The sequence below is a fragment of the Homo sapiens genome, chromosome 10, assembly GCF_000001405.40.
Source record: "Homo sapiens chromosome 10, GRCh38.p14 Primary Assembly".
NCBI lineage: Eukaryota > Metazoa > Chordata > Mammalia > Primates > Hominidae > Homo > Homo sapiens.
The window spans coordinates 29,717,642-29,741,995 of record NC_000010.11 but is presented as its reverse complement, the minus strand read 5'-3'; the positions used below and the strand labels follow the sequence as shown (position 1 = coordinate 29,741,995).

Below are 24,354 nucleotides of genomic sequence, written 5' to 3'. Positions count from 1 at the left end.
CTGTATTTAGAAAAAGAAATTCAACTGACACCCATCTAGTTTAGTTTCAATGGCTGAAACATGGCTGATATTAGAAATAATATCAAAGAATAAGAATATTTCAGCCTCCAGAAATTTTTCAAAACCACTTTTTTTTTTTTGCCAAAGCATCCTGTTTATTTCCCATCCCGAAAACTAAAGAAGTTGAATAATCTGGAACCCATTTTAAAGTTTTGTTAAAATTCATGCTTGTCACAGTCTGATTTCTTTCAGATTTTGTCCATCTTCCAAATTCAAAATATAATTCCATAATAATATTCATGGCTAAGTGTATTTCTTTTTAAAAGTAGGAGAATAGAGAAGCTGTCTTCCAGAATTTTTTTTTATTATAATTTTGGCTGTCTCTGGCCCACGCTATTTGTCTCCCTTTAAAAAAAAAAATTTTTTTTTAAGTCCACATTCCCCTGGCCCAAGTTTCAATTTTTCTAATCTGCCCAGACCAGAATAACTAAAGCAACAACAACAAATGAGGAGCAATAATATGTATTCTTTATTTACATGGCAACCTTCTTTTACAGATTCTAAACTTTAGACTAGGGAGTGAGAACCTTCCCTTCTAAATATTTGTGGGCTGGATCTAGGTTCCTTGGTTAAAGGCTTTTAATATGGATGGAAATACTTGGCATAACTATCAAGGTTATAGTTTTCTAAGGACTGCTTGTTATTTTTCTTTGTTATATAACCCTATCTCATCTCTGCCCCTCTCAATAGGCCTTCCAGACTAGCGGACTATCAGAGATTAGAAAGCTCTGCTGGTTAACAGAACACATTGTTTTGAGTGCTGCAGGCCGCCCTGGGCTTCTTAGATCTCCGACTCTTAACACAGAGAAAGCAGTACTTTTATTTCAGTGAAGGTTAGCTTCATAACAGACTTTTAATCTTGGAAGATTCGTGCTGAAAACTGGATTAGGAAATCCCACGTCCCTGTACCTCTTGCCTTTGTTTGGGAACCTTGGAGAACAACGGCTGCATCTAGCAGCAAACCAGTCTCTCTTCCCTTCTCTGTGTCACTAGCATCATTTCTGCCTACTCCCCAATAGACTCCAGCCAAGGGGACTTCCCACACCCAACTTGTACATTTTTACCCACCTCCAGGCCATACAAGCCTTTACAGAGCACCTACTGTTTGCAGAGGGAGCACTGTGTTTCACTCTCCAAGCTTTGCTTAACTGTACCCCTCTCCAAGAGCTCCATAAATCTGGGCTCTCTGGTGAGCACAGCTCCAGCACTGCCTCAGGCAGTTGTCACTTCAGCTTTTTAACTGTGACCCACAGGGAGGAATACATTTGACAACACAACAACCCTGCACACACATAAATACAATAAATACATACAACTCATAAATACAGTGAACTGAAACAAAAGATTTCATGAAAACAATACTTCCTTTTTTTTGGAGCCAGGGTCTCGCTATGTTGCCCAGGCTGGTTTCTAACTCCCGGTCTCTCGCCTTGGCCTCAGTAGCTAAGGCTACAGGCGTGAGCCACCATACCTGGGTTCAATGCTTTTTCTTACTATGTAGGATGTACTTTCGTGTTTTTACTTCTACTTCTGTTTTATCAAAAAGTAATAATAATAAAGCTGGTCTTTATCCACAAAATTGATTCCAGGACCCACAGTTTGAAAAGCTCTGTGTAAGGAACCCAGAATATTTAGAAGGCATAGAAGCTAATTAGGGATTCTAAAAGATGAAACTATATTTTCACTAGGAGGTGACTTAAGGGAGAATGTTCACAAGTATTATCAAGGAAGTGAGGATTGCCCCAAATAAGGTATTTGCAACAAAAGCTATGTTTGAACAAATCCTCTGACTTTCTAAGAATTCATTCATTCATTAAAGCAAACACACACACACACATAATTTTTTTGGAGCATCAAGTTTAATCTAGACTTCAAACTTGCAAAAATGGGTAAGACCTTTGCCCTCCCCCAACTCACAGGTTAATGAAGGACACAGAGAAGTGACCTGGTGATTACAGTCCAACATTTGATGGCTATGACTGCAACTTAATTGGGTGCTGTGGGAGCAGAAGGGGGTCCTTAGTTCAGAAAGAAGCAGGCAGGCTTCTTGAAGTTGGTGACTCCTGGAGGAGGCTGGAAAGGAGGTGACACCTTCTCTCTAGACCAAGCAAGTGTGTTCAGAGAGCATGGAACCTCTTGAATATGCAGGGCATTGGGCACAAGTGGTCCCTATGGTTGGAGTGAAGGGTGCAGATGAGGCCATAGCCAGAGATGGGCCACGGAGCTTGCGTATTTCTCCTGGAACATCCAGGGAATCCATTGAGAGAGTTTAAGAAGGCCTGCAGGGTCATCAGGTTTCTGTTTTTGAAAGATCACTGAAGATATGGTGTGGGGGATGCTGGCTCAGAAGCCAGGCTGGAGCAGGGATCAGGAGGCTGGCGTCAAAAGCCAGAGGGGAAATAGTAGAAGGGCCTGGACTGAGGCAATAGTGGTGGGAGTGGGAAAGAAGGAGGCCTCTGGGAGGCATCAGGGACGCTGTATGAAACCAATTGAAGCTGGTGAGGTGTAAAGGGTGTGGCAGAGGGTCTTCTCTCAGATGATGCCCGGGTTTCTAGCAGGCACGACTATGGTGGAGCTGGTGCCATCCACTCAGATGGGTAATACAGGGAAAACAAAGTGTGGGGAAGAGTTCAATTATGGCCACACATTACTGTGCTTGGAGTGTCTGTGGTGATCCAGCAGCCACTGGATCTGGAGCTTGGGGAGGGCCTGGCTTGGTGTTAAGAAGTCAAGGGTTCAGCTGGGCACAGTGGCTCATGCCTATAATCCCAGCACTTGGGGAGGCCAAGGCGGGCGGATTACTTGAGGCCAGGAGTTCGAGACCAGCCTGGCTAACATGGTGAAATCCTGTCTCGAAAAAAAAAAAAAAAAAAAAAAGAATAAATCAAGGGTTGGATGAAGCCACAAAGAAAAGTTACAAAGTAGGATCAGTAAGTGCGCTTAATTTGGGGCAATGACCAATTTGTGGAAGATGACTTTTTTCAGATGTCTCTAGGTAGTGTGGGGTCAGCATCGAAGTCCTCATCCTCACATCCTTCCTGTCTACCCCAGCTGTAAATGTGTCAGAGCTCCCATAGATGGCAGGCGGAATGAGGCGTCTTAGGCATATTTATTCACCACAGTCTCTAATTATGGAGCCCATGGGGGATGACAATGACATGGGGAGTAGGCAGAGGGCAGACTGGGCAAGGGTGACTCTGGATTGAATCGCTAACAAAGGCTAAGAGGCCGGTTCTGAAATGTTTGCTGGTAAAGGGTCTCAAATTCCTGATAGATCCCCTATATTCTTTTCCACACTGGAGTGTCGCTGCTACTGCTGTGACCACAAATCGAGTTGAGAGGGCTGTTTCCTTACTGCATTTTCAATCCTCCCAGCTTCCCTTCACAGCACTTGACAATGTGTGAGTCCACAGGTCAGCTTGTCGTGGAGGGCATGAGATGGAGTAGGGGATAGGGGAGGCTGAAGTCCAACTTTTCTTTTCTTTTCTTTTTTTTTTTTTTTTTGAGAAGGAGTCTCACTCTGTCGCCCAGGCTCGAGTGCAGTGGCGCGATCTCTGCTCACTGCAAGCTCCACCTTCCGGGTTCACGCCATTCTCTTGCCTCAGCCTCCCGAGTAGCTGGGACTTCAGGCGCCCGCCACCTCGACCGGCTAATTTTTTGTATTTTTAGTAGAGACAGGGTTTCACCATGTTAGCCAGGATGGTCTCGATCTCCTGACCTCGTGATCCACCCGCCTCAGCCTCCCAAAGTGCTGGGATTACAGACGTGAGCCACCGCGCCCGGCCCTGAAGTCCAATTTTTATTCTAGCATCTTAGGAGCAATGGAGCTCACAGTTATGGACTGAATTGTGCACCCTCCCCGCTCCCCCAATCCCAATTCATATGTTGAGGTCCTAACCCTCACTACTTAAAAATGTGATGTAGGTGACACACATCTTGGTGACAGAGCAAGACTCTGTCTCAGAAAAAAAAAAGGCATGCAATTGGAGACAGGGTCTTTAAAGGGGTGATTAAGTTAAAATGAAGTCATATAGTGTCTTTAGGAGAAAAGATTAAGACACAGACACAGAGGGAAGGCCTTGTGAAGACGCCACAAAAAGCCATTTACAAGCCTAGGAGACTGGCCTCAGAAGAAACCAACCCTGACCACATCTTGATCTCCAGAACAGTCTTCCAGACTCCAAGACTGTGAGAAAATCAATTTCTGTTGCTTAGGCCACCCAATCTGTGGTCTTTTAGAGCAAACAAAAACACTCGCTTTTCTTTTTTGTCTGATGGTGCATATTCAGGAGGAAACATAAAGTAGTCTAACACTCAGAGGAGCACAACTACCTCTACCTACTGAAACAGACAAGTAACATACTTAACAGGTTGAAATTTATCTACTTATCTACTGTTCTGCCGTTTACCAAGCACTTTTACAAGCCCTAACTCTCAATCTTCGCGGCTGCCTCAGCATCACCTGGGAATCTGTTCGAAGTGCAAATTCTCGGGCCCCACAGAAGTCTTACAGAATCAGACACTGGAGGGGGCACGAAGAGGGGCAGTCATGGTGTTTTCACAAACGTTGGAGGACTCTGGTGTAGCTAAAGTGCGAGAACCACCGAGGCAGGGTTCGGTCCAGGTGGAGGGGATTGGGGGGTCCCGCGACTTTTTCACAGGTGCGCGTGGCCAGCAAGGACGGTCTCCTTTGCAACTGGCCCACAGCGTTGGCACAGGTCGCCAGATTTTATTTATCCCTGGAAGGTCTGGAGACTCAAAGGGGCCTCTCAGGGCTCCAGGGTAAGCGGCTGCCTCCGGGCAGCAGAGCCGGTGAGAGCCAGGGAGCCCTGAGCCGCTGGGCGCGTGCGCGTGGGCGCGTCCCTGGGCCGGGCGCGCGCCGAGGGGGTGGGTGGCGCCGGCCCCGCCGGCCTGGCGCGCGGTCCGAGCCACTCAGAGCGCCTGGCGGCCGACACCCGGGGGCCCTACAATTAATACCGGGCGCCTGCCCGCTGGCCGGGACTCGCGCGCCGGCTCTCGGGGACGGAGGCGCCCGGTCCGCCCTGACGAGCTCGCCACTGGCTCTGCTCCGGCGGCGACGGCGACAGTGGCCCTGGCCGACTTTCCCGGGGCCCACACCTCCTCGAGAGCCAGCTTGGGCAGGGGACGGTGCCGCACCACCAAGGCCCCGCGCTAGTGTGCACCCCCGGCCCGGGCCCGGCAGGTGGGCGAGGAGGGCGGGCGCAGTCGGGCTCTGCAGGAGCGCGCGGAGGTGAGACGGGGGGGAAGGTGGGGACGCGAGTGTGGGCGCGTGAGTGTGGGCGCACCCCCGGGAAGGTCTCGGAGATGTCCTCTCTCCCTTCTTCCTGGTCCCCTCCAGAGTTTCGCTCAGGTCCTCAGGGGACAGCCTGAGAGGCCAACCTGCTGGAAGAGTTCACTCGGGCGACAGAGCGAGTTGGACAGCCACACCCCCGGCCGGGAGAGCGATAGGGCGGCCCTGGCCTCCAGCCCCTGGGATCCTAAAGCCCCGCATCTCCGGGGCTGCAGCGGGGGCTAGCCCAAGCATCTTCCCAGCCCTGGGACCGGGGGGGCGTGACTGCCACCACCCTGAGAGCTACTGAGACACAGGACACAAACTTAGTTTCCAAACAAAGTAAAATCTGCCTTTCCGGTGTTTTAAGATAGGACGTGCTTATGCCGATTCATCGCGGTTTCCTTGGGCCACCTCCGAGGACGCGGCTGGACCCGCTGGCCGTGGAGGGGGTCGGCTCCGGGCGCGAGTTCGTGTCCTGGGGCGTGGGGACAGCTCTGGTGCTTCCCCCGAGAGTCGTCCCAGCGTGGTCCCCGCGCACTGGCCCCTGTTTTGGGAAGGGGTGCCCGCGTTGAGAGAGGCAGGGGTGCTTGTGCTTGGCCCCCCTCTGTGTCCCCACCCTCTCCGCCCGATCCTTGCCCAGTCCGAGGGTGCTCCCGCCTGGTGGCCCAGCAGAGGGCGCCAGCTCCCGGCCGCCGCGCGGGTCGCAAGGGGTGGGGACGCGCGAGCCTCCAGGTAAGGAGCGAAGTGAATCATCCCGAGCGGGGACCCGCTCCCCGCGCGGTGGGAACGAGGCGGGGCGTGGCCGCGGCGCTGCTGAGAAGTCGGGGCCGCCGAGCCGCTGTCGGCGGGAAGCGGCGATCCTGCCACCGGGAGGTGTGGAAGAGCCGGGTAGGTGAGCAAAGTCCCTCCGCGCGGTGGCCGAGGGGCGCGCGGAGCCGGGGCCGGCAGACGCCAGGACGCGCCGCTGCGCTCTGCTCCGGGGCGGGAGGCGCGGGTCAGTCTCGCTCTGGCTGCGGGAGGCCCTGCCGGGGACCGAAGCGGGAACGGGGGCGCCTCCCGGGGGTGGAGGCCGGCGGGTGCCCGGGCCGCTGCGACGGGGCGCTGCGCTCGGCCCGCGGGGTCCCCGAGCCGTAACAAAGGCGCGGCGCGGCCGCGGCTCCCACCCACTTCCGTCCCCGGAGCGCGCCTCGGGGAGGAGCGGGCCGGGGCAGGGTTTCTCTCCGCGGAGTTTCGGGAAGTTAGCGCGGCTGCCCGTTACGCTGAGAGCATGGCGGGGAGGCGGGTGGCCCGGGGAGTGGCGCGCCAGTGATCAGAACTACGACATCGCCCGGTTCCTTTCCCGACACCAGCCGCAAGTGGCCGGAGCTGCGGTGGCTCCCGCGCCCCAGCCCGGGGTCCCAGACCGGCGCCTCCGCAGGGCCCGCGCGGGTTTGAACCCGATGCGTGGTGCGCCAGGCCACCCCAGCTGCCCACGTTTCTGCGCGCGTGCGGGCTCCCCGAAGGGAGTGGTTTAGTCCCCGGGTGACAGCCAGCAGTCCCTGGCACCCCGAGTGGAGCTCCAGAAGGCGGTAATTGCATTACAGTGAGTGAGCGGCGGGGAGGCTCCAGTCCAGGCCGCAATCTGGGTCAGGTGCGGGATTAAGAGCTTCAGGCGTTGGCATGAGAGATCTTGTGAAGTCTGACAGTTTATTGCAATGAGAAGTTCCTCACAAGGGGAGAGGCCAGCTGGGGAAATTAAAGGAGCTCCTGTCCGCCATCCCCAGCCCCATCCCGAGGTTGTGATAACTTGTGCCTGTGCAAACCCTAGCACAGGCACGCGTTTTGTCATAGAAATGTCAGAGGCAGCATCTCTACTGCGCCAGATGTTTCTCAGCATCTGAACAGGAGAGGAGGAGGTGGTATTGAAGAGAAACCCAGGACGTTCTGCTTGCTGTGAACCCTAGCCCCTCGCAGTCAATCGATGGAATTCACGTTTTCGTGTCTTGTCTTATCTGCCTCCACCCCCTTCTTCTGTTGGAAGGAAAGGGCAGGCACTGGTTTTTATGAAGGGCTAATGGACCAGGGACTCTCCCCTACACAATGTGGAAGGCTCTTCATTTTCTCTTTAAACCTTACAACCTCTTCCCAGGAGGTTATTTCTGTTTCACAGATGAGGAAACTGAGGCTTAAAGAGGTTAACAGATCCAAGAGTCTGCCCTGTTCCAAAGAGGACTGTTTATTCTTCCAGGTTATTTTTTTATTTTTGACAAAGTCGGTTACTGAAGAGCGCTTTATGGACTGCTGGGTGTGTGCTGTACCCCGGGGTTCAGGTTTGATTATGCTAGGCTATAGGGCTTGATGGACTTTCCACCTATCTCTGGCTTGTGTTAATGCCAGTGCCATAGCTAAACCAACTCATATTTAAAACTTAATGTATATGAAGAGAACTAAGGTTTCCTCCCCAAACCTTTAGAATTATGACAGTTCCAAAGAGAGGTGGAAATAGCTGTCCTTTGCTTTTTGCAGTGTTTCATCAGGCAGGTGGGCCTGGAGTCAGGAATTCTACACAGCACGGAGCTCTGTTTGCCTTTTCTTTTGCAAGGAGCTGCAGTTCCCACCTTGTTTAAGCTGTGTGTGACTTTGCCACTGTGCTGAATGTGCGTTTAAAATTGAGTGAAGTATGCTTTGGAAATAATGGCCCACCTTACTGACTGATAAGTTAAAACCTCAGAATTTCTTTGAGGGATCCAAGGATATGGTTGTATCCACAACTTTTATACAACATTTGAGCTCAAGTTTACAAAATAGGACTTTGGCATTGTCCTGAATGTACTTAAAATGTATTGCCTTCAAGAAAGATGTTTGCAACTCTGGCGTGACAGTCAGGGACTTGGAACGTCCTAGGTAGAGGCAGCCAGGCACGCTGATGAGGGCAAGCCTGGAAAGTCTGGGAAGAATGGCTGGGTTCGGTTGCTGCCTTCACCATTTAGAGGTCTGCAGCCTTGGACAATTTGCCTAGCCTCTGAGCTTCACTTTCTTCTCTTAAAACATAAATCAAAGGCCAGGTGCCGTGCCTCACACATGTAGTACCAAGGCTTTGGGAGGCCGAGGTGGGAGGATGGCTTGGGGCCAGGAGTTTGAGACCAGCCTGGACAACATAGTGAGACCCTGTTTCTACAAAATATTTAAAAATTACCTGTGGTCTTAGCTACTTGGGATGCTGAGGTGGGAGGATCGCTTGAGCCCAAGAGTTCGAGCCTGCAGTGAGCTATGATCGCATCACTGCACTCCAGCCTGGGCAACAGAGCTAGACAGCTGTCTGTAAAAAAACTAAACAAAACAAGCTAGGAATAATAATAGTGCCTCCTGGTTTCAAACCATGAGGACTAAATTAGATAATTCATGAGATACTCGGCACAGTGCCTAGCACATAGTTGCTATTCAACAAATGTTAACTAATAATGATGATGTTTAAGAACAGAATCCTTCCCTTCCTCCCCTCATCCAGAGAGGTAAAGTAGTTCTTAGTTGCCCTGAACTGACTGTTCTTAGTGAATATGGCAATATAGTACAGTTAGTGATTCCTCCTTCTCTCAGCAAGTTGGGGCTAGGGAAAGGTTGGTAGTGATGGAAAACTTGGTCCAGTCGCCCAAGGAGTTTACAAGGAGCTCCAGAACTGTAGAGCTTTTCTCCTGGTTTTGCCACTGTGTAATTTTGTGGTGGGCCTTTCAGCCATTTCCCTTTCTCTTAAATTTAAAGCCCAGTATTCTAATGGCCAAGATGGTAGGAATTAAAAAAAAAAAAACAAAAACCCAAACCAAATGAACTGGTGAAAAGGAAATATGTATTCTCCTTTCTCATTCACTAGCCATCAATGGCACTAAAGAAATGTATCTGCTTCTGTGAAAATGGTGCTGGCCTAATCCTGGGAAGAGGGACCATTTCCTTGGAAAATGTAGTATTTTCTGATAGTCTGTTTAAAGGTGAACCACCAAGTTGATAGAAGAGGAAGGAGAGTTTGAGACATAACATTTCAAAAATATTTCCTTAAACATGGTCAACTATGTATGATCTGAAAATTGCTAAACTAACTTTTAGATGACAGCATGAAGCATAGGTCAGTTAAACTGAACAATTAATGAGCAACCAGTATAGCTATTTCATATGTTAAAAAAACTTGAAAGTTTTTCAAATGAGCAAATATACTCTATATTGTATATACATGCAAGAAATATAAAATCGTATATTGTATCTATATGTATATAGTATATATAATGGATATAATTTCTTATAATACATCTGATCATTTTTTGCTATTTTATACCTCTTGATTTGGGTTTTGCTCTTTTAAACAATTGATATGGACTAAAGCAACATAAAGAAACGTTATAATGTCATTATACACCACCCGATGTGTAGTTACCATGAACATTATCTTCAAGAAAGTGCATGGACAGGAGGACAGAGAGGGATTGTCATTATGTAGGTTTTACATCTGGATATGATATGCAGCTTCTCCCACACTGGAAAATGAGCTGCGTGCATAACCAATTGGAGGCGTGTAAAGAGTTAGGAGCAAGATCCCTGCTTTTGTGCATTTCACTCCATTTGTAGCCACTTGTTGCACTCCATCTGGAAAGAAAGAAGCCGCTGCAGGGCATGCGCCAGACCTGCGCTGGGCCGTCGCTTCCATTGTACGGAAGATGAACAGGCGGCGTTATTTTGGATCACATAGCAGCTTGTTCAAAAGCATCTTGCATTCCCCAGCTGTTCCACAACTTCTTCGCATATGGGAGAGAACTTGCCAGCTGCTGGGGCAACTGTACTTACATTTGCTGCCTTTGTTCAGTAAACAAGGAAGGTAAAAAGACAGGCGCCTTTGTTAAACTGTAGTCATTGTAAAGAGACTTACTTGTTTCTGTTATGTCAATGTTATTCCAGATATAGTCTGTCAGGGGAGGCGGTTTAAAAGGAAATGTCAGAATTAACATTTTTTTTTAATCCAAATAAATGTTATTTTAGGGTAACCGGCATGTATAGTTTTTCCATATGTAAAACCTTAGGCTGCTTTTATATTTCATTGCCTAACAAAGGAATGGATCTAATACCTAAAAATAAGTGTTTATTTAAAAATTGACATATGAATCAGATTTAATTCTATACATTTTTCTATTGCATGAAATGCATAAAAGTTACAATGTGTCTCCAGACAGTGCTTTTGTGTTTTCAGAACATTCTGTTGTTTTTGCATTTGTTGGAGCTGGAGGGTACCTTGCCCACATCCTTTGTTTAATCAATGAGAAAACTTCAGTTTATAAGAAGTTGTTGCTTATCCAAGGTGGTATGGCTAGTGGATTTAATTCAGCAAATCTTCTGTTGAGTGTTTATAGTGTGACAGGCCTGGGAAACCTATAAAGATGAATAAGGGTTGGGCCCAGCCCTGGATGGACTCGCAGTTCAGAAACAACAGACGTAAACAAATACTTCAAGTATGAGGGCTAGAGCAGAGGCAGCACCTTTTTGTTTTCAGAACAGTGTTGTAATCATGTCAGCTCAAATAAAGCCAGAGTAGCAAGTTGATGTGCCAGTAAGAATCGAGGAGCAGAATCTTGGGTACAGGAAGATAGAAGAGGCGTTATATGGTTTATCAAATTTTACGTACATGTCCTTAAAAAAGATTTCGTATTGTGCCTCTACCTAGGCCTGCTTGTCTCCCAGTTCCTGGCCAGCACCCCAAAACATCTTGCCTTCCTAATTATTGTGAATTGTGAATAAATGGCCCTCTAGTAGCTCCAGCATCAATCACAATCCTTTTTGGGATATTCAGTGAGTTTCAATCGCCTTTGTTCTATAAAAGGTTGTAAAATAAGCCATAATTGCTTGGGCATGTATAAAACCCTCTGACTCCAAATCTCCTCGAAATCTTAGGGGTTCCTTGTACTGGAAACTGCTGTTGCTTCAGATCCCCTGATGATTCACGGTTGCTGAGTTGCACCCACAATTCTAAGCCCTTAATCCACTTCTGGCCTCCATTTACACATTCATGTATCTCTTACTTCATCCCTTTTGTGCAGTAATAACAGATGTTTACAGTCTTTCAGTTTTCACTTGGTTTACTGACGTTTTCACTTGAGATGCTCAAGAACCCCGTTGGGTTCTTAGGGCTGGTGACCCAGGGTTTCCATCTTGGAGATGAGGAAACTGAGGCTCCACGGTTGAGAACCTTGCCTGCGCTAAGATTAGAACTAAGATCTCCTGATTGAAAATTCAACACTCCCCTCTGACTGGAAGGGTCAACTTATACGAAGCTGGAGGTTGAGTCTCATCTTCTTCTACAGCTTCATTGTACATGCCCTGACTTCAGTGATCCTCACTGGGTTTTTCACCCAGGACTTTCACTGGGATAAATCTCCCTTCCTTAGTACATTTCTTTGCACATTACAGTTCTCTTAGCATCTTATTCTTCTTTTACTTTTTTCTTTTTTAGAGACAGGGTCTTGCTCTGTTGCCCAGGCTGGAGTACAGCGGTGTGATCATAGCTTACTACAGCCTTGAACTCCTGGGCTCAAGGAATCCTCCCTCCTCAGCCTCCCAAGTAGCTGGGACTACAGGTGTGCACCACCACGCCCAGCTAATTTAAAAAAAATTATAGAGAAATGTTGCCCAGGCTGGTCTCGAGCTCCCTGGGCTCAAGTGATCCTTCTGCCTCAGCCTCTCTAAATGCTGGGATTATAGGTGAGAGAAACAGTGCCCAGCCATCATGTTACGTTTCTAAGTCTTGTCTCTCAAGAGCAATTGCCACCTTTTTTTTTTTTTTTTTTTTTTTTTTTGAGATGGAGTCTCACTCTGCCACCCAGGCTGGAGTGCAACGGTGCAATCTCGGCTCACTGCAACCTCTGCCTCCTGGGTTCAAGCGGTTCTCCCGCCTCAGCCTCCCAAGTAGCTGGAACTACAGGTGCGTGCCACCACACCCAGCTACTTTTTGTGTTTTTAGTAGAGATGGGGTTTCACTATGTTGGCCAGGCTGGTCTTGAACTCCTGACCTCATGATCTGCCCACCTCGGCCTCCCAAAGTGCTGGGATTACAGGTGTGAGCCACCGCACCCGGCCAATTGCCAACTTTTAAACACATACATCCCTCTGTCTTGCTACACACACCACATACATACACACACACACACACACACACACACACACACACACACACACACACCTCCATAAACACAGAGGCCCAGCATGGCTACTGTACCCACTATCCTTTTTCACCCAGCCCAGCTCCTTTCAGAAGATGACTTCACCTTTATACCATCAAACTTTTTCCTCCTGCTTAATGTCTTGGGATGCTACAAAATTCTTGATGGATGTCAGATATAGGTGGGCGGTCAAAGTTAGCCTGTTTCCTCTTTTTCCACAGGGGTACTGTTGGAAAATGATCCAGTTCCCCTTGATAGTGGTGACTATGTTGTCCCCCCAACATCATGGTCCTTGGGGTTAGAAATAAGAGCCATTTCCCTTAGGAGGAAGAAGGTGATGAGCTTAGTTGGGGAGGGGGACCTCCTTTGCTCAGGACTTCTCTAGTATTCCTTATGCAGCCATAGTACCACTCCCCACAAACATCCTAACACCGCCCCTCACCCCCAGACTTTGGCAGCTTTCTCCTCCTTCTAGGACCCTTTGTTTGTTTCCCTCTTTGACATTCTGCCCCTCCTGTTCCTGGTCTGTTGCTGTCGCCCAGCCACCTCCCGGCAGGCCTGGGTTTCAAGTGTCTTAGGGACACATTTGCCTTGGACGTCCTTATCTCCATCTGTCATTGGTGTTTAATTGCTTTCCCTCCACTCCCCAGCCTGCTCTTTGACTTGGGGTAAGTTTCCCCCTTGCGATCCTTTCTGATTACTTCTTTCAGCTTTCCTCTGGCCAATTCAGCTGCCCGTTCAGCTCCTCCATGCTGCTAGCTCACCTTTTGTGTCTGCAGTTTCCCAGGGTTTCCAATACATGGCTTTGTTTCTATCCAAGGCTGCTCTACTCTTTTTCCCTTCCTTCCTTTCCTTCCTCCCCCTTTTTGACAGTGCTTCTTGATGCTTGCATTCCTTTCCCTTTCATTTTTTTCTTCTTAACAATTTGCAAACCCTTCTCCCTTTGTTCTGAGTCAATCTCATTTGGCTGTCACCTTTGTTTAGTATAATAATGATATTGAATACCCTATCAAAGTTTTTATGTACAGGAAATTTCTGCTTTTAAAAAGGGTTCTTTGGAACTGCAACTTGGAAATACCAGTTTTGAAACTGGTTTTGAAAAGGTCTGAACTTTGGGGAAAATTGTTTGAAATTTATTTTGGCTTTCCTTGCCCGTGGCAGTACCTTGAAAGTAACTGAAACATAAGCTTGTTTTGGATAACCTTTCCCTTGCAAATGGAAATTGTACATACACACAGCAGAATTCACGTTGGCTTTTTTTTTCTTTTTCAAATCATATTTCTGGAAAATCTTGGAAGGGAGTTTGTGCTTTGTGGCCAGTCCAGGGTGGGTGTAAGTCATGAATGATTGGTCATATTAAGACTGTGCTAGACCCTTTTGATCAAAAGCCTCGCTAGGGATGCTTTCTACTTATGATCCTCTGTCCATGAGAATATACCAGAGAGTAGGTATTAGGAAATCCTTGACAGATTGACTTGATTAAGGAATCTTTACTTTTCCCCCAAAGCTGTGAACATAAAGGTTTACTCAGGGTTGGTAATAGAGTAGGATGGTAGTTGGAGGTTCTCGCCCTGCCTTGAGGTAGAGCTGCAGGCTACCGTTGGTCCTGAGCAGCCAGGGGGTCTAGCACTGTTTGCAGTGCACCCAGAGCCCTCCCACCTGGCACTTGTTCCCTGCAAAAATATAAAAATATTGCTCTTTTTGTGACTTTTTCTTTTTTTTTTTTTTTTGTGTTCACGACTTAATTCACATTTCTCCTTTCTCTAAGTTCTGCAATAAGTGAAAAGATGTTTACCCATGCCGAAATAGTCTGGTACTTTAATTTCCCAATTAAAAGGGAGCACAATTTTCTTGCCCCAGTAGCAGTGTTACTTATCCCAGGTGGTTTGGCTATTGCATGTAATTCTGCAAAGCTTCTGTTGCGTGTTTACAGTTTGACCGGCCTGAGGAATCTGTAAAGATGAATAATGGTTGGACTCATGGCACCCAGGGAGTTTGAGTCCAGCCCGGACAACATTTCTCTATAATTTTTTTTTTTTAATTAGCTGGTGTGGAGGTCCCCACTTATAGTCCCAGCTACTTGGGAGGCTGAGGAGGCAGAATTCCTTGAGCCCAGGAGTTCGAGGCCACAGTGAGCTATGATCACACCACTATACTCCAGCTAATGTTAGTACAGACTGGAGCACACAGACCAAGGAATCTTTGTTTCAGCAATCTTCTTTAATTGGTGTTACTGGACATAGAATCTTGATGTAACCATCAACTTCAGTTAACCTAGTCAAGTTATCCACCTATATTATTATGTTATTATTAGCATCTGAAGAAAGGTCCTTGAAATTAGAATTGTATAGAAACAAGAAGTAAAAGTAATCAAACTGCTGATTTTGTCTTTCCTTTGTTCAGCTAACATTTGATAACCACGTGGTGTGTGTGTGTATGCTTGTGCACGTGGATGTGTGTACCCATTTAATGCTTGTTATTGAGAATATAGAGTGAATCCTGCCTTCACGGAGCTTACAGTGGCGGATACATTTGTAAATAAACAAGCATAGGTGTTGTGATGGAAGCACATTCTAGATGTCATGGAGACATGAGGGGATGCCATGATGGCGGTGCTGCCACTGGTAGCATCATCTGTTGACTGTCCACTGTTTGCCAGGCCCTGTGCTGAGGGCTTTGAGGGCTTGACATGCTGTTCTTATTTTAATTAGCACTTTTTTTTTTGAGTTAGAGTCTTTCTTTATCTCCCAGGCCAGAGTGCAGCAGCGTGATCTTGGCTCACCGCAACCTCCACCTCCCGAGTTCAAGCCATTCTCCTGCCTCAGCCTCCCGAGTAGCTGGGATTACAGGCACCTGCCACCACAGCTGGCTAATTTTTGTATTTTTAGTAGAGGCGGGGTTTCATCATGTTGGCCAGTCTGGTCTCGAACTCCTGACCTCAAGTGATCCGCCCGCCTCGGCCTCCCAAAGTGCTGGGATTGCAGGCATGAGCCACCGTGCCCGGCCACAGTTAGCACAGCTTTTTAAGTGGAAGCCTTGATAGGTTAAGTACCTCAAATGAGGTATGACAATAAGTAGTAGAGTCTGGGTTTGGATTCAGATCCAAGGTCCTAAAGCTTTTGCCATAAATGACAGGATGTATCAGTAGCTTCCTAGGTTTACTTTTCCTCCTCTAACCATCCCTATCTCTGCACATAAAGAAGGAATAGGAAGCCTGGAGAGCCATTTGATATAAAAGATATATGTGGGGGCCAGGTGCAGTGGTGCATGCCTGTAATCCCAGCATGTTGGGAGGCTGAGGCAGGAGGATCACTTGAGCTCAGGAGTTTGAGACCAGCCTGGGCAACTTAGTAAGACCCCATCTCTACAAAAAATTTAAAAATTAGTCATGCATGGTGGCACACACCTGTAGTCCTAGATACTTGGGTGGCTGAAGTGGGAGGATCACATAAGCCCATGATGTCGAGGCTGTAGTGAGCTATGATTGCACCACTGCACTCCAGCCTGGGCCACAGAGCAAGACCTTGTTTCTAAAATAATTTTTTTATTTTTTAAAAAAGGATGTAGGTGAGGAGTTAGCCCTAGCCCCACTCTCTCCTATAAAGGATGTACCATGGGGATCTAGTCTAGACGGTTCCTCAGTGTCTGTAATTATGCATTTTCTCTGAGTATTCTTCATATTCAATGTTTTGCCAACTCTGTTTCTAAAGAGGCTTTCTTTTCCCTCTGCTGAGCGTTGCGGAAACTGGCCATCAGCCTGACTGAGCCCCAGAGCCCTCTGCCTCCTTTCTCAGTGCTGTGCATCGCAACCAGCAGCCTCTGGTTTCTGCCTTGATCCCCTCAATGGTGCTTGGTGAGGCAAGCAGCTCTATTTCAGGCCTGCAGAAGGGGAGAGTCACTTCCTCTTTAGGATCTGTTCTTTAAATGAACCCCTCGTGGAGGGGAAGCCTGCCTGCTAGGACACATCTGTGTGCATGAATACAGGCTCTCGGAAATCTCATCCTCACTTCAGCAGCCTGCTGGTTACACTGCTCTTATCTCCCCTTTCCTGCCTTTTAAGGATTGCAAGGCTCTGTGGTTCTGATAAGACCCAGTTATGACCTGAAGAATACTGGCTGGACAGATTGGAGGAAACCTATCACTCTTGAAGGGAAGGAGAGGCTCAAAGGGGACACGAGATCCTGCCCTTTTCCAAAAGGAACCCTTGAGGACACAAGAGCGGTCCTCTGCAGGATGAATCACCCTGAGGCTCTAGGAGAAACTTTGATAAGCATGCTCTGCCTTAGGGCTGTGCCTGTCCTGTTTCCTGCTCTTGATAGCAGGCAAGTAGAAAGACGGACCTCTGACCCTGAACTGTGTGCCATAATGAGGAAATTCCACCCTGAAAATTTAGAAATTTAGAGGTGAGCATGCATGCTTTTTTTTTTTTTTTTTTTTTTTTTGAGACCGGGTCTCACTCTGTAGCCCAGGCTGGAGTGCAGTGACATGATCTTGGCTCACCGCAACCTCTGCCTCCTGCAGAGAACCTTCAAGTGATTCTCATGCCTCAGCCTCCTGAGTAGCTGGGATTACAGGCATGTGCCACCACACCCAGCTAATTTTTGTATTTTTGGTGGAGACGGGGTTTCACCATGTTGACCAGGCTGGTCTCGAACTCCTGACTTCAAGCGATCCACCCACCTCAGCCTCCCAAAGTGCCGGGATTACAGGCGTGAGCCACCTTGCCCAGCTGCTCATCAGTTTTTAAGTCCAAAAATAAGGCTAAGAACTTCCTGGAAAAATTGATAGAACATGAACTCAAATGAAGAGACAGCTTACTTCAACCAGTGTTAGATGATGTCCATCCACTTCCTAAAAATGAATTCGGTATTAGACTTTGAAATAGGATTTATATATTTTTTTTCATTCTGACCCCAGAATTATCCAATTATTTTTTAAAAAATAGTCACCATCATATATCCTGACACTGAGTTTCCAGGAAAAAGAAAAATCATATTATATGCTTGAGAAGAAAATTACATGGTTGGAAGATGTTTTGGTTGATTATTTGTATAAACCCAACATCTGTGTGTATGTGTGTGTGTGTGTGTGTGTGTGTGTTTTAAATCCTCATAAAAAAAGAATGAAAAGCTTTCATTGCATGGCTCTTTTTTTTTTCTATACACTTGCTTCTCACAGTGTTGGAAGAAGTCACAAGTTAGTTATAGCAGGCAGTGAAAGCAGTTTATGTTTTTCCATGAACAAATTGGTTCCATGTCTTGTATTTAGGCTTCTTGAAAAAAAAAAAAAGAGAGAAAACAAAAAACTCAGAAGAAACTGCAAGCTTATTGTGGAAAACTCACTTTCATTTTGAGCACAGATACTGGTTCTAGGTTCAAATAGTAGCATCCTTTATCTGTTTGCAGAACTTGGTAGTTCTACAATTTATAAACCCGTTCATACTTCCCTTGCCCCATACCCAAGTCTCTCTAAACACAATGTCTTCTCCATTATTTTCCATTTCAGCTAGAAGTTGGTTTTGAAAAGTTAAGTGCTGTGTTTGCATAATCTTCACCCAACCCTTTTTCTCCTCCAAACTTTTTATCTTGTTTGGTTGCCAAATTCACACGCATTGCTTGTAGTTACCCAACAATGGCTTTTGTTTCATTTTTTCATATGTTCTCAATGGTTTTCCCACAATTTTTGATTCTAGGGACAACTAGGGAGAGTTCATGAGTTGCAGAAACAAGGAAAGTTGCCTCCATTAATTGTAGGCTTACTGAATTAGTTACCATCACCAAGTATAGGTAAATAGGAGAATGACTATTTAAAAGATGAAAAGAATAGATTTCATAGTAAGAGAGAAGTTTCCTCTCTCAAGATATTCCTTCTTCTTCCTCATTTTCCTCCTCCTATTATATAATAATAATTATTATTATTCCCTGAAGCATTGTTCATAGTCTGGTGGGACAAACAGTTGTTGCTAAGAGTAATGCCTTCTTAACAGTGAATACCGAAAGTTTCAGTTCAAGTACTAGAAAGTGACTTGTCATGAATAATCACAGTTTAAATTTAAGTGATGCTTAGTTATACATTTATTTTTTATGTTTTTGAGACAGGATCTCACTCCGTAACCCAGGCTAGAGTGCAATAGCACGATCCCAGCTCACTGCAACCTCTGCCTCCTGGGCTCAAGTAATCCTTTCATCTTAGCCTCCCAGTAACTGAGATACATTTTTAATTTTTTGTTTTTTAACTTTTTGGCCAGTGGCTGGCTAATTTTTTGAAGAGACAAGGTCTCACTATATTGCTCAGGCTGGTCTCAAATTCCTGGGCTCAGCCAATCCTTCTGCCTCAGCCTTTCAAAGTGTTGAGATTATAGGCATGAGCCACCACGCCTACATTTATAAATATTTATGGAGGACTTTTATGTACAGGGCAGTCTGCCGGGATTTTCACTTATCTAATGTCATTTAATCACAAGTACCACGTGAAGTAGGTAGTATTACTCCCATTTCACAGATGAGCAACATCAAGGCTTGAGAGGAAAAATGATTGGCCAGAGTCATGTATCTAGGAGTGACAGGATTGAGATTTAAATCAAGATCTTCTGATTCCAGGGTCACATTCACTTCCCAGCCAATAAGTAAACGGCAGTGATGTCACCATGGAGGTCCTATGTGTGTGTAACAGTGGATTCTGGAACTCAGCTTGAAAGCTCATGCAGTAGAATTTTAAGAACAAAACTGTCCAATTAGGGTTGGAGTTTTTAGTGCCCCTACATTGGATTTAGAGGCTAGAATTCAAGCATCTGCCTGCTTTTTGCTAAAAATGTTTATTGTACAAATAAATCTGTACCCAACTCCTGAAAACACCAGGTTTTTATTTTTAAATGTGCACAACTTCCAAAGGCCGGTTTGGTGCTGAATTGGAAAGGATTCTAGTTCGCAAAACCTGGAAAATGACCATTACTCTTGTTTTCTTTCTTTCGTTCTTTTTCTTTAAACAGTTGTATTGAGGTATAATATTGCCATGTTTTCTTAACCTAGCTTTTTGGAAGAAAGTTTGGGTCAATGTTAAGCCAAAATTTCTTAACTTCTAGGGCTTTTTGATATGGTCTTGCATAAGTTTCTCAAACTCTCACTTTTTTATTACTCCCAGATAAATCTTTTCAGTAGAAATTTGGGAAATTTTTGCATTTTAAAAACTCGTACTTGCTGATGCAGTTTTTTTTCTTTCTTTTCTTTCTTTCTTTTTTTTTTTTTTTTTAAGACAGAGTCTCACTCTGTCACCCAGGCTGGAGTGCAGTCACTGCAACCTCCACCTCCTGGGTTCAAACGATTCTCTGGCCTCAGCCTCCCCAGTAGCTGGAATTACAGATGCGCACCACCACGTCTGGCTAATTTTTGTATTTTTAGCAGAGACAGGGTTCTGCTATGTTGGCCAAGCTGGTCTCGAACTCCTGACCAAAGGTCATCCGCCTGCCTCGGCCTCCCAAAGTGCTGAGATTATAAGCGTGAGCCACCAGCACCCGGCCTGATTTATTTTTAAGGTTAGCTTTCCTGAAAATGCCTTCTTCTCTAACTCCTGGTTAGCCTGCAAGCCAGACAAAATAGCACTAGTTACGATGATACCAGTAAGATGTCAAAATAAAACTTTGCCACAAGTCAACATGGATATGGACTGCTTATTAGTATAAAGCAGGGATCCCCAGCAGTATTGAAATATGTGGCTTTGTAAATTTGTCTGTTTCCTTGTGCAGTTCTGTCAGTTTTTGCTTCATGTATTTGGATGCATAGCTATTATTAAGGTGAATAAACCCTTAGGATCCTTATGTCCCCTTGAAGAACTGGTGACTTTATCATTATGAAATGACCTTCTTTAGACCAGCTGATATTCTTTGCTGTAAATTCTACTTGTTATTTATAAAGCCACTTCAGCTTTTTTTTTTTTGGATTGGTGTTAGCATAGTATAACTTTTTCCATCCTTTTAACCCTTTTGTGGCTTTATTTAAAGTGCTTTTTTTTTGTAGGCAGTATACAGTTGTATCTTTTTTCCCCAATATGAAAATTAGTCTTTTAATTGGTATATTTAGATTACTTACGTTTAATGTAACTATCAATATAGTAATTTTAAATCTGTCATCTTACTGTATGTGTTCTATGTATCTTGTCTATTCTTTATTCCCTTTTCCCTGGTTTCTCTGCCTTCTTTTGGATTGAGGTGTTTTTTTGTTTGTTTGTTTGTTTGTTTTTGTAATGATTCCATTTGTCTCCTTTGTTGGCTAATTAGCTATATGTCTTTGTTTTGTTATTTTGTGGTTGCTTTAAGATTTACAGTATAATCTGGGCATAGGGGCTCACACTTGTAATCTTAGCACTTTGGGAGGCTGAGGCGGGTGGATTGCTTGAGGCCAGGAGTTTGAGACCAACCTGGCCAACATGGCAAAAACCCCATCTCTTCTAAAAATACAAAAATTAGTGGGTTGTGGTGGCACATGCCTGTAGTCCCAGCTACTCAGGAGGCCGAGGCATGAGAATCACCTGAATCCAGGAGGCAGAGGTTGCAGTGAGACGAGATCACACCACTACACTCCAGCCTGGGCACAGAGCAAGACTGTGTCTCAAAAAACAAACCAACAAACTATTTAGAGTATACATCTTTAAGTTATCATAGTCTACCTTTAAGTGATATTATATCACTTCACATATCATATAAGAACATTACAATAGGATACTTCCATCTTGGCCTTTGTATTGTTGTACAGTTTACTTTTACATATGTGATTAACTCCATATAAGTTATTATTGTTTGAGAAGTCACTTCTCTTTTAAAAGCTTAAATAATAAGGAGAAAGCTCTTATGTATTTACCCAGGTAGTAACTATTTCCACTGTTCTTTATTCCTTTGTGTATATCCATATTTCTACCTGATTATTTTTTCTACTTAAAATAATTTACTTTAGCATTTTTTGTTATGTAGGACTTCTGGTGATGAATTCATTCCATTTTTATATGTCTGATAAATCCTTATTTTGCCTTTATTTTTATAAGTACCATGTGCTAACTAGTTGTATAATTGGAGCTACAGTTTTATTTTTGGAAGCTATTTTTGCTGGGTATAGAATTATAGATTGACAATTTTTTCTTCTTAGTTTATGAAAGATTTTGCTTCACTATTTTACACTTGCCTTGCTTTTGACATAAAATCTGCTATCATTCTTACCTTCTTTTGTTTATGTGATATGTCCTTTTTTTCTAATTGCATTTAGTATTTTTATTTTTTAAAAAGTGAAGTCTCACTGTGTCATCCAGGGCAGAGTGCAGTGGTGCAGTCATAGCCCACTGTAGCCTCAAACTCTTGGGCTCAGTCTTCCTGCCTCAGCCTCCCGAGCAACTGGGACTACAGGCACATGCCACCACGCCCAGCTGCTTTTAAGATGTTTTGTTTGTTCCTGGTTTTAAGCAATTTGCAATGTGCTTTGATATACGTTAGTTTATATTTCTTGTGCTTGGAATTAAATGAGCTCCTTGGATCTTTGGGTTTATATTTTTATTAGGTTTGGCATAATTTTTCAGCCATTATTTCTTTAAATATCATTTTCTATCCCTCTGTGCCCCCCATGTGGAATCCAATTACATGTGTTTAGGCTGCTTAAAGTTGTCTCCACAGCTCACTCATGCTTTGTTCATTTTTTTTAAACTTTCTTTTCTGTTTTTCATTTTGGATATTTCTATTGCTATGTCTTCAAGTTCAATAGTCTTTTCTTCTGAAATGTCTACCTGCTATTAATCCTATCCAGTCTACTGTTCATCTCGCACATTGTAGATATTATTTCTAGAAATTTGATTTGTGTTTTTATATATTCATATCTCTGCCTAAAATCTTGAATATTTGTCCTTGTCTGCTAATTCTAATACCTTTCTTAACTCTTGGTCAGTTTCAGTTGATTGACATTGCTCCTCGTTGTGGGTTGTATTTTCCTGCCTTTTTGCATGCCTGGTAATTTTTGACAGGATGCCAGACATTGCAATGTTATCTTCTGGGGGGATGGAAATATTGTTGAGCTTTGTTTTGGGATGTAGATAAATTACTTGGAGACAGTTGATTCTTTTGTCTTACTTTCAAGATTTATTAGGTAGGAGCAGTGCTAATTAGACAGGGATAATTATTTCTTAACCCGTTTATACCGAGTGTTCCATAATTGGAACACTAAGCTTGTGGGAGTTATTTATATCCTATTGCTTAAGGTCATCACCAAGGTCTGATTTCTCACACACAAAAAATTTGCAACCTCCAGCATAAATGGGTTAAGCAACATCTTTCTGAGTACCCAGTGCTTGTGAATTATGAGTTTTTCCATTCTTTTTGTTTGTTTGTTTTGAGACAGAGTCACACTCTGTCATCCAGGCTGGAGTGCAGTGGCACGATCTCAGCTCACCGCAACCTCCACCTCCTGGGTTTAAGCAATTCTCCTGCCAGCCTCCCAAGTAGCTGGGATGACAGGCACTTTCTACCATGCCTGGCTAATTTTTGTATTTTTAGTAGAGACAGGGTTTCACCATGTTGGCCAGGCTGGTCTTAAACTCTCGACCTCAGGTAAACTGCCCACCTCGGCCTCCCAAAGTGCTGGGATTACAAGCATGAGCCACCATGGCTGGCTGAGTTTTTCCATTCTATCAGGTGGAAACAGACACTGTTTTGCATCAGTACCAGACACTGTTATCTCCAATCTTTTCTAGTGTTCCCCCACCCCCTCAGGCACATGTAGTTTGCTCAGAAACATGCACTGACTACTCAAAGATAAATCTCTGGACTTCTCTGTGTAGTTCTCTCCTATTTGGTACTTGGTCCTGCAAATTCTAATGGCCTGGGTCTACCCCAGATTCTCGGCTCTGGGAGTCTGCTGGGTGATAACCTAGGGCGGTCATATTGCCTAGAATCTGAAAATTCAGATTCTGTTCAGTAGGTTTTTGCTAGGGTCTGAGACTCTACATTTCTAAGAAACTTTTAGATGCTGTCAATGCTCTGGAAAGACTACTTCGAGTAGCCAGGGTCCCTAGATATTCAACAGATATGTAATGTAAACCACATATGTAATTTTACATTTCCTAGTAATCGCATTAAGAAAATTAAAAAGAAACAGGCGAATTTTTTTTTTTTTTGAGACGGAGTCTTGCTCTGTTGCCCAGGCTGGAGTGCAGTGGCGCGATCTCGGCTCACTGCAACCTCCACCTCCTGGGTTCAAGCGATTCTCCTGCCTCAGCCTCCCGAGCAGCTGGATCTACAGCGATGTGCCACCACGCCTGGCTAATTTTTGTATTTTTAGTAGAAACGGGATTTCACCATGTTAGCCAGGATGGTCTCCATCTCCTGACCTCATGATCCACCCGCCTCGGCCTCCCAAAGTGCTGGGATTACAGGTGTGAGCCACTGCGCCTGGCCACGAAACAGGTGAAATTAATTTAATTATATATTTTCTTTAACTCAGTCTACCCAAAATGTTATTTCAACATGTAATCAATGTAAAAATATTAATGAGACATTTTTTCTTAAATTTTATAGTAAGTCTTAAAATTTGATATGTATGTTATAGCTATCAGATACTACATTTTTATCTGAAATACTTGGTCTATATTTAGCTTTTATAAAATTTATAGTTGAAAAAGTATATTTGTTAACCAAACCCCAAATATACAAGTTCTCCAGCAACTGAACTCAGCATCAAAAAATCATTCTCCACGATATTCGCATTCAACTTGACAAAACTGGTTCATCTTTTTTAGAATAATTAATTTGACTTTTTGAAACAAAAAATATCAGTTTCAAAGCTACATCTGTTCAACTTA

General features: G+C 44.9%; 1 protein-coding gene across 3 annotated transcripts in view, besides 6 other annotated features; it reads left to right on the top strand.

The window, feature by feature from the left end:
- Positions 5,060–24,354, top strand: part of SVIL (supervillin) — a 279,599-nt gene continuing 260,304 nt past the window's right edge. Inside the window, exon 1 of one of the 3 annotated variants that reach the window (NM_001323599.2) lies at positions 5,060–5,311. The gene's annotated coding sequence lies outside the window, so the exon portion shown is untranslated. Of the gene's footprint in view, positions 5,312–6,071; positions 6,246–24,354 lie in introns of those variants that run through there. The other 2 variants (NM_001323600.1, NM_003174.3) reach the window with 2 other exon arrangements.
- Positions 5,382–5,676: a silencer, noted in NCBI's record as "tiled region #9997; HepG2 Repressive DNase matched - State 4:PromP, and K562 Repressive non-DNase unmatched - State 8:EnhW". NCBI's record gives its function as "represses a minimal TATA promoter and a strong SV40 promoter by Sharpr-MPRA in HepG2 and K562 cells {active_cell/tissue: HepG2 | K562}" and the evidence as "EXISTENCE:reporter gene assay evidence [ECO:0000049][PMID:27701403]".
- Positions 5,931–6,160: a silencer, noted in NCBI's record as "silent region_2262". NCBI's record gives its function as "represses an Ori minimal core promoter by ATAC-STARR-seq in GM12878 lymphoblastoid cells {active_cell/tissue: GM12878}" and the evidence as "EXISTENCE:reporter gene assay evidence [ECO:0000049][PMID:35858748]".
- Positions 5,931–6,610: a biological region, named in NCBI's record as "H3K27ac hESC enhancer GRCh37_chr10:30024395-30024895".
- Positions 6,030–6,530: an enhancer, noted in NCBI's record as "H3K27ac hESC enhancer chr10:30024395-30024895 (GRCh37/hg19 assembly coordinates)". NCBI's record gives its function as "activates a minimal SCP1, AML or CMV promoter by ChIP-STARR-seq in naive H9 embryonic stem cells {active_cell/tissue: H9 hESC(naive)}" and the evidence as "EXISTENCE:reporter gene assay evidence [ECO:0000049][PMID:30033119]".
- Positions 6,171–6,360: a silencer, noted in NCBI's record as "silent region_2261". NCBI's record gives its function as "represses an Ori minimal core promoter by ATAC-STARR-seq in GM12878 lymphoblastoid cells {active_cell/tissue: GM12878}" and the evidence as "EXISTENCE:reporter gene assay evidence [ECO:0000049][PMID:35858748]".
- Positions 6,471–6,610: a silencer, noted in NCBI's record as "silent region_2260". NCBI's record gives its function as "represses an Ori minimal core promoter by ATAC-STARR-seq in GM12878 lymphoblastoid cells {active_cell/tissue: GM12878}" and the evidence as "EXISTENCE:reporter gene assay evidence [ECO:0000049][PMID:35858748]".